The 14749-nt window shown below is 41.7% G+C and overlaps 1 long non-coding RNA gene across 1 annotated transcript, besides 1 other annotated feature; it reads right to left on the bottom strand.

Moving 5' to 3' along the window:
- Positions 1-1450: 1450 nt before the first annotated feature.
- On the bottom strand, positions 1451-6506 carry LINC00690 (long intergenic non-protein coding RNA 690). Its single transcript, NR_103843.1, has 3 exons — positions 6330-6506; positions 3298-3448; positions 1451-2489 (listed from the first exon to the last, which is right to left on the bottom strand). It is a non-coding gene; the product is annotated as a long intergenic non-protein coding RNA 690 (long non-coding RNA).
- Positions 6966-7161: a silencer, noted in NCBI's record as "fragment chr3:16577170-16577365 (GRCh37/hg19 assembly coordinates)". NCBI's record gives its function as "represses an EF-1alpha promoter that drives an FKBP-Casp9 reporter gene in an ReSE screen in K562 erythroleukemia cells {active_cell/tissue: K562}" and the evidence as "EXISTENCE:reporter gene assay evidence [ECO:0000049][PMID:32094911]".

The raw sequence follows: 14749 nt of genomic DNA, 5'->3' as shown, positions 1-14749 counted from the left end.
TCATTGTTATAGATTTTGGATTTGCTTCTGGAGCAGTAATAAGGGGTGGGTTATGAAAGAAAGAAAAACATAGCAACAAGGGCCCATGGGAAGTATAAGAAAAGAACACTGGGTACTTGGAGCTTACTTGGGGTAAATTACCATGATGTTGGTGTCAGGATCCTGGTCTGTAAAATGGAAATAACATTTCCATCTTGTATACCTTGTAGTGCTAGAAACTGGATAAGATAATAACCATGAAAATATTTTGAAAAATGTTGTGTGAGTAGTCTTTCTTGTTGAAAGATTGATGAAGATGCTAATGACTCAGGGGACCATCTTAAAAGGTGCTTGTTGGTAGGAAAGAAAGCCTGAATTAGTGCAAGGTCTGAATAATCGGGTTTCTTCTTCCTTTTTTTAAAAAAATCAAACTTAATTGTTCACAAGCAGTTCAGAAATACATTTTAAGGGCTACCACTTAGAGGCTAAATTTTGACAAATAAAGAAAGGCCAGGCACAGTGGCTTATGCCTGTAATCGCAGTACTTTGCGAGGCTGTGGTGGAAAGATAACTTGAGGCTAGAAGTTTGAGACCAGCCAGGGCAACATAGTGAGCCCCTGTCTCTGCAAAAATTAAAAATTAAAAAAATTTGCCGGGCATGGTGGCATGCACCCGTAGTCCCGACTGTTGGAGAGGCTGAGACCAGAGGATTACTGGAGCCCAAGATTTGGAGACTGCAGTGAGCCATGATCATGCCACTGTACTCCAGCCTGGATGACAGAGCCAGACCCTGTCTGTAAAAAAAAAAAAAAAAAAAAGAGAGAGACAGAGAGAGAAAGCTAAAATTTCAGCCTCAGTAGCTCACCTACTTAGGTGGTTTGACTATCATTAAATTCATCAGGGTCCCCAAACAGTTAATTAAGTAGTTAAACAATCTACCATTTTGTTGATACCTTTTATTAAAAACTTTATTTTTCTTTGTCAACATTACTGTTAAACTCCATTCCTTCCCCTATGTGAGCTCTTGTAATATCAGATTGGTAGGATCTGAATTCATAACTGTTTTGGATAAATCTATCACATTTAATAAAGAACCTAGGAAAGAACAACTTGAGAGGTGGCCATAGAGGGGACAGGAGCCCTGTACCACATTGATCATTCGCAGGCTGCCTGGCCTCTACTTCCCTCTGTGACTGCCTCCTCTTGAGGGATTTTCCATTATGTGGGGCTTTGGGAGGTGGGAACACAGCCAGGGAAGAGGACTCTACCGTTTGTGCCCAACTTTCCCTGAAGACTCTGAATCCTGTAGACATGGGGCAAGCAGTGGCCATGGTACATCTCAGACTGAGGAGAAGCTTGGATCGAGTAGTTACTGTGACATGGCCCTTTTCAGGACCTCCCTGGTTCTGGGACCCCCCCCCAGTCTAAAATCAAGTTAATAAGCCCCAGAAATTACTCTTCTTTTCATTCAGGAGAGCCAGAATCGGCTTTTATTTGTAAATCGACAGCCTGCCTAATAAGGTGTCCTTTTCTGAACAGTTTTTCACCTACAAACAACTTTTTTGGTGCTAATCTATAATGTTGCTGAGTGAAGTGTTTAACAAGAAGGAAATCAGAGTGATTTCAGCAACAGGAGCATTCATGCCTGTCTCGATCTAGAATTCCTGAGATTTAAGATGGATCTGGAAAAAGTCTGTGTTCTCTTAAAGGGTAGCCATGTTTTCATAATTGATGTGTTGTGCCTTTTTAATACACTTTATCTGCGTGCAGCTGTAAAAATTATAAAGGAAAGTTTCTGTCCCCAAAGCATAATTCCTCTACAGAAAGTGGTTTGTTGGTTTTTTTTTTTTTTAAGTCACAATCATGTTTCTGAGAATGTTTATCTCACTTTACTATAACATCATACAATTCAACCTCATGGGCATTTTTATTCTGACACTTATAACTCTAAGTAAGAACACCATCCATCTTGGGAGAAAAAGCACAAGGAGAATGTTTCTTTAATAAATATGCTTAATGTTCAACTAAAGTGTGTCTGTGGCGGAGAAGAGGGACAATGGATTTTTCTTGAAATTTGTGGAAGACTAAGTTATTCAACACAGGCTGTCTACCTTGAATAAACTTTATCAACTAAAAACATTAAGAATTTGGGTCTTTGGATGCTGACATTCTTAACCTTGGATACAAACCCAAAGGAAGTGATTGCAACACCAATGGCTATATTTTGTCTGTAATATTCAGTCTGAAGGAGAGACTAATTATGAATGCAACTCTGCCTTTTTGTGTGTAAAATTACTTAGCTTACCATCCTAATTTTTGATTCAGCTCTATCTGTGCTAACCAAGTAGTTTAATCAATTCTCTCAAGCAATTTTCTTCTCTCTGCCACCATCTTGGTCCAGGCTGCCTCATCTCCTGCTCTTAGTAACATGACAGGTTTTTATCTGATTCTGTTATCCTCTTCTCACTCCCACTCATCTTCTCCAGTCCATTTTCAATAGCCACAGAGATCTGTTAAAACACAAATCTGGCCACTTTATCCTCTGCCAAAGATTAATATCTTTCCATTGTTCTTAGGAGGAAAACCAAAATCATTAATATGCTAAGGCCAGCATTATCACTTTATTTTTAACATTTAAAAAACCCCTGAAAGGTTTATCATATAATTGATATCTACCATATCATATAGTCAATTATTTCAAACGAATGAACCAGAGATGGATTTTGAAACTTGTAACTTGCCATCTTTCAATAACTTCATCTTTCAATAACTATCAGTAAATAATTGGTCAAATTTCATGCTTTTGATGGGGAAAAACTGACATTGCAAAGAAACAGAAACATCTGGTTTGATGGAAAGAAGATGTCAAAACTAAGCAAAAATATGTAAGTTGGCAAAAATTTGAGCCAAGAAACCATGGAGAAAACAGCCAAGCCCATCCATCAGGAAGCGCCTGGTTAGTGCCCATATCCAGCCTGGAATATACAATCCCAAAAGTTGAAAAATGTGTGGGAAAAATGTAACTTTGACCAATAGTCACTTTTTTTTTTTTAAAGACGTATGTGCTTGTCAGTGGGAATAAAAACAAAATGATATGCTTTTGGAATAAAATTGCTCCGGTTGCAATATCTTCCTCAGTGGGCAATTGGCCATGCATCATAAAGAACACGGTGCCAGAGGGAGATCTTTAATACCACATCTTTAGTATAATAGCCCTATTAACCTTGACTTCAGATGGATTGGCCATGGGGTTCGCTTCCTTCAGAGCCCCAGCCTACAGAAAAGGACTTATGCAAAACTAGGCTTATTTTTTCTTACCCTAGAGGGAAGGGATGTGTCAAATGTATAAAGATCCACTGCTTTCCTAAGTCGAGGTTCAGAACTGTAAAATGGTGTGGCTGGACTTGGAAGATCTTTGATCTGTGCTAGGATGCATTCTTTGCAGAGGTAATGACAGTATCTTCATTCTCTGGAGAAAAAGTTCAGATAGACCTGAATCAAAAATTAAGATGGTAAGCTAAAATTATTTAGCTAAAATTATTTAAAATTATTACATATTAGGCACTTCCCATAAGCCACACTGTGCTCTGTGTTATCTCATTACATTTTCACAATGTAGCCACAGTTGTTCCCATTTTACAGATGAAAAGATGCAGTCCCAGAGAGAGAAGAGACGTCTCTGTCTGCTCCATGCTCAGCATCCTTCCCCCTTTTTCTGGTGCCAGCATCCTGGCTTTCTTTGAGGGATGTGCTTTCTTCCCCCATGTTGGTGAACAGATGCCAGGAAGCCACCACTGATGGTATCCTGCTCTCCCCTGGCCAGTCGTACCCTCTTCCCAAAGAACCCAATATTGATTAAGTAACAGGCAGATAGAAAATGTTTGGAAGAGATTCATCTCTCCCTCAAAGTATCTTCTACCACAATCCCCCTTCTTCCCTTTCTGAGTTCTGGTTCTTCAATTTATCTTCCTTTCTGGCTTAGGTTGCCCAGAGTGGATTTCTGTTGCTTGCAGTTAGATAACTGTAGCTGAAACGAGAGGGTGAGTAGCTTTCCTGCCCACACACATTCCCACTGCTACATCCCTCACCCCTTCTGCCTCATCTCCCTGCTGCCTGTGGTTGTGATTGCTGGGCACTGGGTGCTTGACGCACGTGGGTCCCGACACTCCTTCCCACACTAGGGAAGTGGAGGAGGTGGTCATGCTGTGCTCTCTGGGCACAAGGGTTTGGGTTGCTGTTTCTCAGTTCTTAGCCCAGTTCTCAGCTGGACTGCACACAAGCCAAGCTTCCATCTCAGTGTGGTTTGAAGGTGGCCAAATGCTCTGGTGGCCTCCAAGTATTCATTCCCTGACTTGTTTTTGTTGTCTGAAGCTCCACCATGAGGGTCACTAGCTATGGGACTATTTCTAGGAAGTTCTTGTTGAATGGCATTAAGCTAGGAGTTGGTTAACCCTAGCGGATAGTAGGTGTGTATTTAGTGTCTATTGATTATCTAATCTTACATAATTATTTTTAATGAAGTATTTTATTCATCACAATGACTATATATATTTATTTTTAATATATATTTTAATATAAATATATAATAAAAATATATGAATATAAATATATAATATAAATATATATATTATATAAATATATATAATATAAATATACATAAATATATATAATATAAATACATATAATATAAATATATATAAATATATATAATATAAATATATATAAATATATATAATATAAATATATATATAAATATATATAATATAAATATATAAAAATATATATAATATAAATATATAAAAATATATATAATATAAATATATAAAAATATATATAATATAAATATATAAAAATATATAATATAAATATATAAAATATATATAATATAAATATATAAAAATATATATAATATAAATATATAAAAATATATATAATATAAATATATAAAAATATATATAATATAAATATATATATAAATATATAATATAAATATATATAATATAAATATATAATATAAATAGATATTTATATTTATTCATCACAATGACTATATATATATATATATATATATATATATAAAATATATACATTTGAAATATAGTGGTAGAACCCTGTGGGAGACACAGAAGAGATTGGTCCATGGACAATAAGCTTATCGATGGGTTTGAAGATCATCTCGCAAAACCTCTCTGTCTCCCCAAAAGAGCCTCCTGGTCTATGGGTGGGGATCCACTGCATTAATCTGTGCAGTATTCATTATCATATAGGAAGGATTCATTTGACAGACAACAGAGGCTGGAGAATCACACCCAGACAGATGCGTTGTGCTGGAACCTCCTCTGCTCAAAGCTCAAAGCAGACCCACAGAGGACGGCCCCACAGGGACCTGAATGTGGATTCTGCAGGTACCTTTGAGAGGGCGTTTAACTTACAGGAGGGCTTTGAAGACTAATTTTGCTGCCTCGTGGTTTGGGTTTGTTTGTGCCAACATTTTTTGAGAATCAGCAGTGGAAATGTAAGAAATGCAGTCCTGATTTTAGGAACATCAGTTTTCTTGCTAAAACTGCCTGGAGCTTGAAAACTGAGGCCCATGGCTAGGATGTGGCAACCATGCAGTGCATGTTTTGTTTTCCAGCTGAGCCTAGGGTGCAGCTGATCATAGGAGGGACTTGTGTGGACAGAGCTGAGGGCGCCCTGGGGAGCACAGTCTGCAAGGAGAAAAGAGACATTTGTTTAATCTTGTCTGGGGACGGAGGCTGGAGGGGGGAAGCTCCAAAATGGCAGAAAGGAAGATATGGAAAAAGAAATAACCAGGGGGTCTGATTCCAGCCCAGCCCAGGGACTAATAATAAAAACTCCCACTTGTTCATTTGGTCAGGGCCAGGCACTGTGCAGCCTCTTGCTCGGTCCTCCCAACAACTCTGTCGCAGGTACTTTTACTATCCTTCCCATTTTAGAGAAGAAGAAACTGAGGCTTGGATGGTAATTTTCCCAGAGTCACAAAACCAGATCTGTTGTTCTTTGAAAGCTGACTTAAAGGCCCTCCAGGGCTAACTTTTAGTGGCATGTTTCCGTATCTGTGGGCACATGACATAGCTCCAGTGAGTGAAACCTGAAGGGGACACTTTTTTTGGCACCTCAACATTATCAACTTTGGGAGTTGAGTGAATCAACCAACCTCAAGGGTGGGGCATTATTGTCCTTGAGGAACTAAAGTGCACACCAGCTATGGAAACTTGAGACTCCGTCTCTTCGTCTGTAAAATGGGATGACAATGCCTCCTATATCAGAACTGACAGAAAACACAGAGTTAACAGTAGCCTAACAGGAGAAGTATATTTCTCTCTCACATAAACAGTCTCTGGAAATTATAGTCCAGAGTTTGTATGGCGGCTCCGTGGTCATCAAGTACCCAAGATTTCTATATTTTTGTTCTGCTATTGTCACCACATTTCTTCCATCTCATAGTCCTAAATAGCTGCTCTAGCTCCAGCCACTGCTTCTGCTTTCATCCATCCGGAAGGCGGAAGGGGCAAAGAAAGGCACAAGCCCCTTTAAGGTCACGCCCTTCCTGGAAGTTGTACGCGACCCTTCAGTTGACATCCCATTGGTCAAATTCAGTCACGTGCCAAATCTAGCCATCAGGGAAGCTGCGAGAAATGTTTTTTCTGGGAGACCACAAGTTTAGCTAAAAGCCAGGAGTTCCATTCCTAAAAAACAAGGGGAGAAGGGCTGCTGAGGCTGCAGGGAAGCTGGAATGAGTTAAACATATGTAAGTTACCCAGCAGGGGGCTTTCCTGGCACTTCGCGGACAGTAGATAAACACTAGTCATAAATCTTTCTTTCCTTCCTCTGCAAGTTTTCTGCCAAAACTTTCCAATTTGGTCATATCTACATTTACATATGGATAGCAAGCTGATCAGGCACTTATCTTTTGGTGCTCTTATTATTTTCTAATATTTTGTAATAGAAATTTTTTCATGTAGCATTAATTTTTTTTTTTTTTTTTTGAGACGGAGTCTTGCTCTCTTGCCCCAGCTGGAGTCAGTGGAACGATCTCAGCTCACTGCAACTTCTGTCTCCTGGGTTCGAGCAATTCTCCTGCCTCAGCCTCCCGAGTAGCTGGGACTACAGGCACACGCCACCACGCCCGGCTAATTTTTTGTGTGTTTTTTGTAGAGACGGGGTTTCACCATATTGGCCAGGCTGGTCTCGAACTCCTGGACTAGTGATCCGCCCACCTCAGCCTCCCAAAGTGCTGGGATTACAGGCGTGAGCCACCGCACCGGGCCCATGTACCATTACTTTTTTAAAATTCCTTGCTGTCTCCAAAGATTTCTTAGTAAGGGAGTGGTCTTTACTTCTAAAGTTGCAATACTTGGCTTTCTCCCCTTTCCCGTAATATAATTAATGCTCATCACAGAGGGCAAATAAAAATGACATCAGTATTGTAATAAAGTGTGATAACTGAGAAAGCAAAACACCATACTCATCTTTTCTTGGCCTTGGGATAACTACTGATGCTCACAGCACTTCCCAAAAGGCAAAATAGGGTCTGCCACACACAGGCTATTAGAGTTTGGGCAAGTCAGTTTCCTGCTGTAAACCTTTATTTACTCATCTAGCAGATGGGGCTGTGAGGATTAAATGGAATGATTGATGGAAGGAAAACGCTCAGCAGACGGCCTGGCACATTATAAGCCCTCTACAAAGGGCAGAACTTATTGATTTGTTTATTTTTCTATCCAAAAGGATATTAGGCTTGGTGGGAGATTTTTATCAAGGCTTCAAGCTCATGACATTTTGCTTTTGTTATAATAAAACATAAGCTCTTAAAAAGCTTTATTCATTATATCCCCAAACTGGAAACAGTCCAGTCCATCAACAAAAGAATAAAGAAACTCTGGCCTATTCATGGAAAAGAATACTGCTCAGCGATCAAAAGGAATGAACATGGGTGAATCTCAAAACCATTATGCCGAGTGAAAGAAGCCAGACGCGAAAGAGCACATACTGTATAAATCCACATAAAGTTCTATAACAGGCAAAACGAATCTATGACAGACTTTTAAGAACCAGGATAGTGGTTGTGTCTGGAGGGTGGAGGGAGTGGATTACTGAGAAGGAATCTGAAGGAACTGTCTGGGGTGATGATAATGTTCTGTACCTCGACAGAGTTTGAGATGCATTTGTCAGAACTCATCTTATGGCACACTTAAGATTTGTGCACTTTATCATATGTAAATTTTACCTCAAAAGGCAAAAAGAGGCAGAGGACTTTGAGTAGACATTTCTCCAAAGAAGACACACAAGTGGCCAAAAGGCACATAAGAAGGTGCTCAACATCAGTAATCATTAGGGAAATGCACATCAACACCACAATGAGATACCACCTGCTATAGTTGGGCTTGTTTGACCCTTCCAAATCTCATGCTGAAATTTCACTCCTCCAAATCTCATGTTGAAATTTCACTCCTCCAAATCTCATGTTGAAATGTGACCCCTCCAAATCTCATGTTGAAATTTGACCCCTCCAAATCTCATGTTGAAATGTGACCCCTCCAAATCTCATGTTGAAATGTGACCCCTCCAAATCTCATGTTGAAATTTGACCCCTCCAAATCTCATGTTGAAATTTGACCTCCCCAAATGTTGTGTTGAAATTTAACCCTCAGTGTGTGGTAGGGCTTAATGAGAGGTGTTTGGGTCGGGGGGGGCAGATTCCTCATAAATAGATTAATTCCCTAGGCACGGGGATGAGTGAGTTCTCACTCTATTAGTTCCCATGAGAGCTGTTGTTCAAAAAAGGCTGGCACCTCCCCCGGTCCCTCTTTCCTCCTCTCTGGCCGTGTGATCTCTGTACACACAGGCTGTCTCCATCTTCTGCCACAAATGGAAGCAGCCTGAAGCTCTCGCCAGAAGCAGATGCTGGTACCATATTTCTTGTGCAGCCTTCATAACCATGAACCAATAAACCTCTTTTCTTTATAAATTACCCAGTCTGTGAAGGCTAAAGCAACTCCATCTCGGATGCTAATCTGCCATGACTTCTTATTAACCCCAGTTCTGGGAATACCTCTAAGATATCTATTTTCACATATTTACCATAAACCCTGTCCTTAGGCAAATTCCTTATGGTATATAAGCCCTGGGCCTGGGGGATAACAGTGCGGGGATCCACCATCTTGTCTTATGGCTGCCCAAAACATGCTTCTGTTCATAAATCTCTGTTAAATATTTTTTTTCTAAGAAATTGGATTTGTCAGCTTCTTTCTTTGGTCTTTCATCTTCCTTGGCCTTTGGGGGTAGGTTTGCATAGACCTGCTCACCATGGAACACAGCCTCAGATATCTCTTTCTAATAACACAAAAATGTACTAAGACACCACTTCACATCCATTAGGATGGCTAGTATGAAAAAAAAAACATATGTTGGGAAGATGTGTAAAAATTTAAACTCGTGCATTACTGGTGGTAATGTAAAATTGTGCATTCACTATGGAAAACAGTATGGAAGTTCCTCAAAAAAATAGAAATAGAATTATCATATCATCCAGCAATTCCACTTCTGAGTATATACCCCAAAAATTAAAAACAGAGATTTCAACAGATACTTGTACACCCATGTTCATAGAAGCATTATTCACAATAGCCGAAAGGTGGAAGCAACCCTGTGTCCAATGACAGATGAATGGATAAACGAAGTGTAATATATACATACTGGAATATTATTTAGCCTTAAAAAGGAAGGGAATTCTGACACATGCTGCAACATGAATGAACCTGGAGCGCATACAAAGTGAAATAAGCCAGTCACAAAAGGACAAATACTGTATTATTCCATTTATATGAAGTATGTAGAGTAGTCAAATTCAGAGACAAAAAGTAAAATGGTTGTTTCCAGGGGCTAGGAAGAGAGGGGAATGAGGGAGTTATTGTTTAATGAATACGGAGCTTCAGTTTTGCAAGATGAAAGAGTTATAGCTATGGATGGTGGTGATGTTTGCACAGCAATGCGAATGTTTTTAATGCTACTGAACTGTACACTTGAAAATGGTTAGGATGGTAAGTTTGATATTATGTCTGTTTGGCCATAATTAAATTTTTTAAATTTTAACAAGGAAAAACAGAAATGCCAACAAATATTGGACTCTAGTTAAGGATGTGCATGCTAAAATGAGTAGAGGTAAAGCATATTTATGTCTGCAACTTTGCAATGCATAAAAAAATACAATGGATGGATAGATAGATGGTTGAACTGATGGCTAGATACGTGATAAAGCCTGCACAATAAGCTGTAAAATTTAGAATTTAGGTGGAGAATGTATGTGTGATCACTCCACGATTTTAATTTTTCAGTGGGTTTGAAATTTTTCATAATAAAATGTTGGAAAACAAATCAGCACTTAAGTAGGACAAATATCTTGTGAACCTGTGCAATGCTTTCACTCACCCACTCACTCAATCATTCAATGAACTTTTATTGCATTTCTACCATATGTCACTGTGCTGAGCTCTGGCAATGCAAAAATATAGAAAACAGCATCTCTGTCCCTTCTAATGAAGCCAAAACAGATGTCTGAAGGAAACATCCCTAGACACGGGGAATGCAGAAATATTATTTTCCCTAAAAATTTACTCCAACCCTTTGTGCTCATAGCTGAGACTGCCTAATCAGTGGCCCCAAAGCATGCTGGGCTGACCCCCATAGCCTCTCTCCCTTCTCTGTCTCCTCTGGCCTAGCCCATCCTTCAAAGCTCTGTTCTATTTCTAGCACCGCCAAATAGCCTTCTGAGACTGTTCCTGCCCAGTGAGCTCTGGCTTCCTCTTTAAGGTCTCTTCACGGATTTTTGCTAAGTTGAGAGGGGCCAGGCTAGGGCTTGGGGTGGGAGTCCAAGACTTTGGACAAATATGAGTACAAGCATCTGGCTCTGTTAGGTATCAGAGGCTGTCTGCAGATGGTAGAGGCTTCAGGAAAGCAGAAACCCAAAGTAACCATAGTTTACATGGATTTGCATTATATACATTATAAATAGCAGTATAAAAATGTAAAGTCTTAATTTATGTACAAGACATAATAATTCAACCTATTACGTTGAAAAGCCTGTCTAGAATCAGGTAGTATTTCTGAGCTGCAGACTGATTGAAAGGTGGGTTTATGCTGCTGGCACCTGGAGGAGCCACTCCAGCCATGGAACAGAGTTACTATCACGCTTTGGAAGGATGTCTCTGGGATTATGTAAATCTTGACTTATTCCAAGTCTTCAGGGATGCACGGCTCCTGTAACATGCAGCCTCCGCGTAGCCTGGATGCAGAGCACTGAAGAGTGCGGCTGAGGTAAATGTATGCCAAGAGATCCTGGGGTTGGCAGAGAGAGGACACGTGAAAGGATACCGGGGGTGACAGCACAGGCGCTCTTGTCCCCAAGACAAGGGGACATAGTGGGGCAGTGCATCTGTCTCTGCACTCACTGCCCACATCTGGTTCTTCACGGAGGCTTTGGGCTGGTGTGAGTCGTAGATGTGGAGGCATCCCTGTCACCTCCCACCCCATTTGTTTCATCCCCAGGTTCTATCCATGCAGCCTCTTCAGTCTCTCCCAGTTTGCCATTTTTTTCCCTTTCCACCAGCTCTACCCCGGTCCAAGCCCTCAACACTCTCCCAGGAACAACTGCATTGTTAATTACCTCCGTACCTGGACAACTAGTATCCCTGGTCCTACTCTTTCCCCCAGCCATCCTCTACACCACAGGCAGAGTGGCCTTTATAAAATGCAAATCTGATCATGTCGACCTCCATTAAAACCGCTGGTGGGTGACAAGAAGCCTCCCCGATCCTGCAGGCCCTATCCACTCCCTCGCCCGCTCCCAGCACCTCACTTCCCCAGCTTCACTCAATCTACCCCAGCTGTTTCAGCCCCTTATTCCTGTCATCCCAAGAAATCACCTGGACACATGCTGGTCCCTCTGCCAGGAACACTCTTCCCTCCCCTCTTCACCCAGTAAACTTTTATTCATCCTTCAGACCTTAGGTCCACATCATTGGCTCAGGAACTTTTCTGAGCCCCTATCCCCGCTATTTTAACTTCATACTGTCGAGAGGCCCTTCACTTGGAAACATTTCTCACACTGACCACTCTTCATCCTCTGGTGGAATTTTTTCCTTCACATTTGTGTCCCCACAAGGTTGCAGATTCCTGGAGGCAGGGGGTGGGTTTGGCTCACCACTGTCTCTCCATTCTCTGCTCCAACAGCTGGCTTAGGCTAGAGACTCACTTAGTGTTAATTGAAGGAAGGAGCAAGAGAGGGAAGAAGAGAAGGAGGAGGGTGTGGCTGCCATGAGCACGCACCCAGCAGCATGCCTAGCACAGGGAGCACAGGTGGTCAAGGGCCCTGCTGCTGTGCTGAGAGGCCCAGCTCCACACTGGCGTGGAGCTTGCCTGGTGCTGCTGCTCCCAACCAATGACCCAGCACAGCAGGGATACTGAGGCAGTCCTGTTTCTGGGAGACATGGGACTTCTTGGATGGCAACTTCGGCTCAAGGGCTCCCTAACAGCCTTGCCAAACCTTCTTTAGGTGACACAGCAGTCTAGGGCACGCAGCAGTCTAGTCTCCCTTCCCTCTCTCTACTTGGGTGGACTTGCATTACCATTTGACTCTGGTACTCTCCAAGCCTTGCCTAGCTCCTGCCTTGTTTTCTCTGGCATGGGCATTTCTCCTAAGAAAATCCTTGAAAGTTGAACCCACCTTGGCATCTACTTCTCAAGGGCTCCAAATCACATAGAGGAAATGAATGAATGAACGAGCCAGCGCTGGCTTGGCCCAAAGTGACATCCTGATTGTCCAGCAACACCTTCTAGGTGGCTGACATATGTTGCTGTTTGTATTTTCATTACTTCAGTGTCTTGCCTCCATAGTTAGCTGCCTGAAGGGTGAAGGAATGGTCAGTGTGCTTCATGTAATTTGTTCCTATCCTTCCCCAGGACAGGTAAGCAGCCTTTCACACAGAGGAAGCAAAGTCCCAGCCACTATTTTAAAAAATGGAAACAGATTGGGCATGGTGGCTCATCCCTGTAATCCTAGCACTGTGGGAAGCCAAAGTGGGAGGATAGCTTAAAGCCAGAAGTTTGAGATGAGTGTGGGCAACAGAGCAAAGCTCTGTCTCTACAAAAAATAATAAAATAAAATAAAAATTAGCTGGTTATGGTGGTGCATGCCTGTAGTCCCAGATAGTTGGGAGACTGAGGTGGGAGGATGCTTCAGGCTGGGAGTTCAGAGGCTGCAGTGAGCTATGATTACTGCACTTCAGCCTGGTGACAGAGCAAGACCTGTCTCTAAAAAATGAAACATAAAAAAATGGAAACAGAATCAGACAGAAGAGGGCAGAACAGAGTGCAACTGTCAGGATATATTACACAAAGTAGGAGTTGGTTTTGTGTCCTGAGTGCTTTGTGTCAGTTTTTTACATATAGATGTGTTTGTATCAGGTCATGGGGTGAAACGTGTTTCTGACTGTGGGTCATGTTCAAAAATGTTTGGAAAGCTCTGATCTAGTGGGATAATCTAGTTCAGCATTTCTTCAGGATACATTTGTCAGCTAAAGTATGCCTTTTAAAAGGGATTTCCTCATGAAATTGCAGGATAACCCTGAGTGAGTGATTCTCATAGAAGGAAATCTCCTTAGTACATCACAGTCTGCCTGGAGACACACAAGGAATTTAGAGTAGCAAAGTCTCTGTCTGCATTATCAAATCTAGCAAACAAATAATTTTTCAAACACATTTGAGAATTAAATGCCGCCCTTTTATGTTTAACCGCCTGGGAGCACCTATGACTCTTTCCCTAGACATGACCGTGGTGAGACATGGCCCAGGCTCAGTGGATTTCTCACTACACTGTTCTTGTTGGTGTGACAGTGGTGATAGGGAGGTGGCAGGACACCTCTTTGGTGTCTGGCCAAGCCTCTTGGCTGCACACTTCCCACTCAGACGATGATACACTCAGAGGTCCACTGCCATGGCATGTGAACACCAAATGGCTTTTTTCCATTACGCCCCAGTAGACCTCCAGGATGCATTTACACTCTCTCCTGGCCCTTCTGTGCCAAGTGCATGCATGTGCAAGACTGCAGCCAGTCACAGGACTAACTCCTGAGTCATGAAGAGAGGGAAGTTAAGTGGCCCACTGGGGACTGGGTTTGGGACCTGGCTCTCGTTCTTCATTCTTGGAAAAATGGAGTGAAATAGGATGCTCTGGAATCAAAGAAAGTAAGTGCTAACAGTGTAATAGAACCCTGCTCCTCTTCTATAATTGGCAAGGAAGTTGGTCTGCCCTAGAGGACAATCTGAGTCAGGAGGTCTAGGTTCTAAACTGTGTCCTGGCTCTGTGACCAGGGGAGCCCCTGGGCCTTATAGGTAAAATCAGGGAGTTGATTTAAAAGATCATACTGACATAGAGCAGTCGAGGTGAAAGGGACCTGAGAAGGCTTTCGGTTCATGCCTTTGGTTGAACAGGTGAAGAAACTGAAGCCCAGAGAGGCCAAGAGACTTGTATTACTAGTCCATGACACAGATACCTGGCTCCTATTCCAGGCCATCCCCATCTGACTGGGCTGTCTTCCCATCGCAGCGTTTTCCAGCACATAAAATAATGACAGCAGAGGGGCCTCCAGCGTATGCAGCTCATGTTAGTGATTCTTATATGGTCTCTAAAAACAGAAAACAGTTACAGAAATGTAATTGACAACAGCATTAGCACACCATGAAATTTCCA

Source organism: Homo sapiens, chromosome 3 (genome assembly GCF_000001405.40).
Source record: "Homo sapiens chromosome 3, GRCh38.p14 Primary Assembly".
Taxonomy (NCBI): domain Eukaryota; kingdom Metazoa; phylum Chordata; class Mammalia; order Primates; family Hominidae; genus Homo; species Homo sapiens.
The sequence above is the reverse complement of the archived record's forward strand: the minus strand, read 5'-3'. Positions and strand labels throughout refer to the sequence as shown.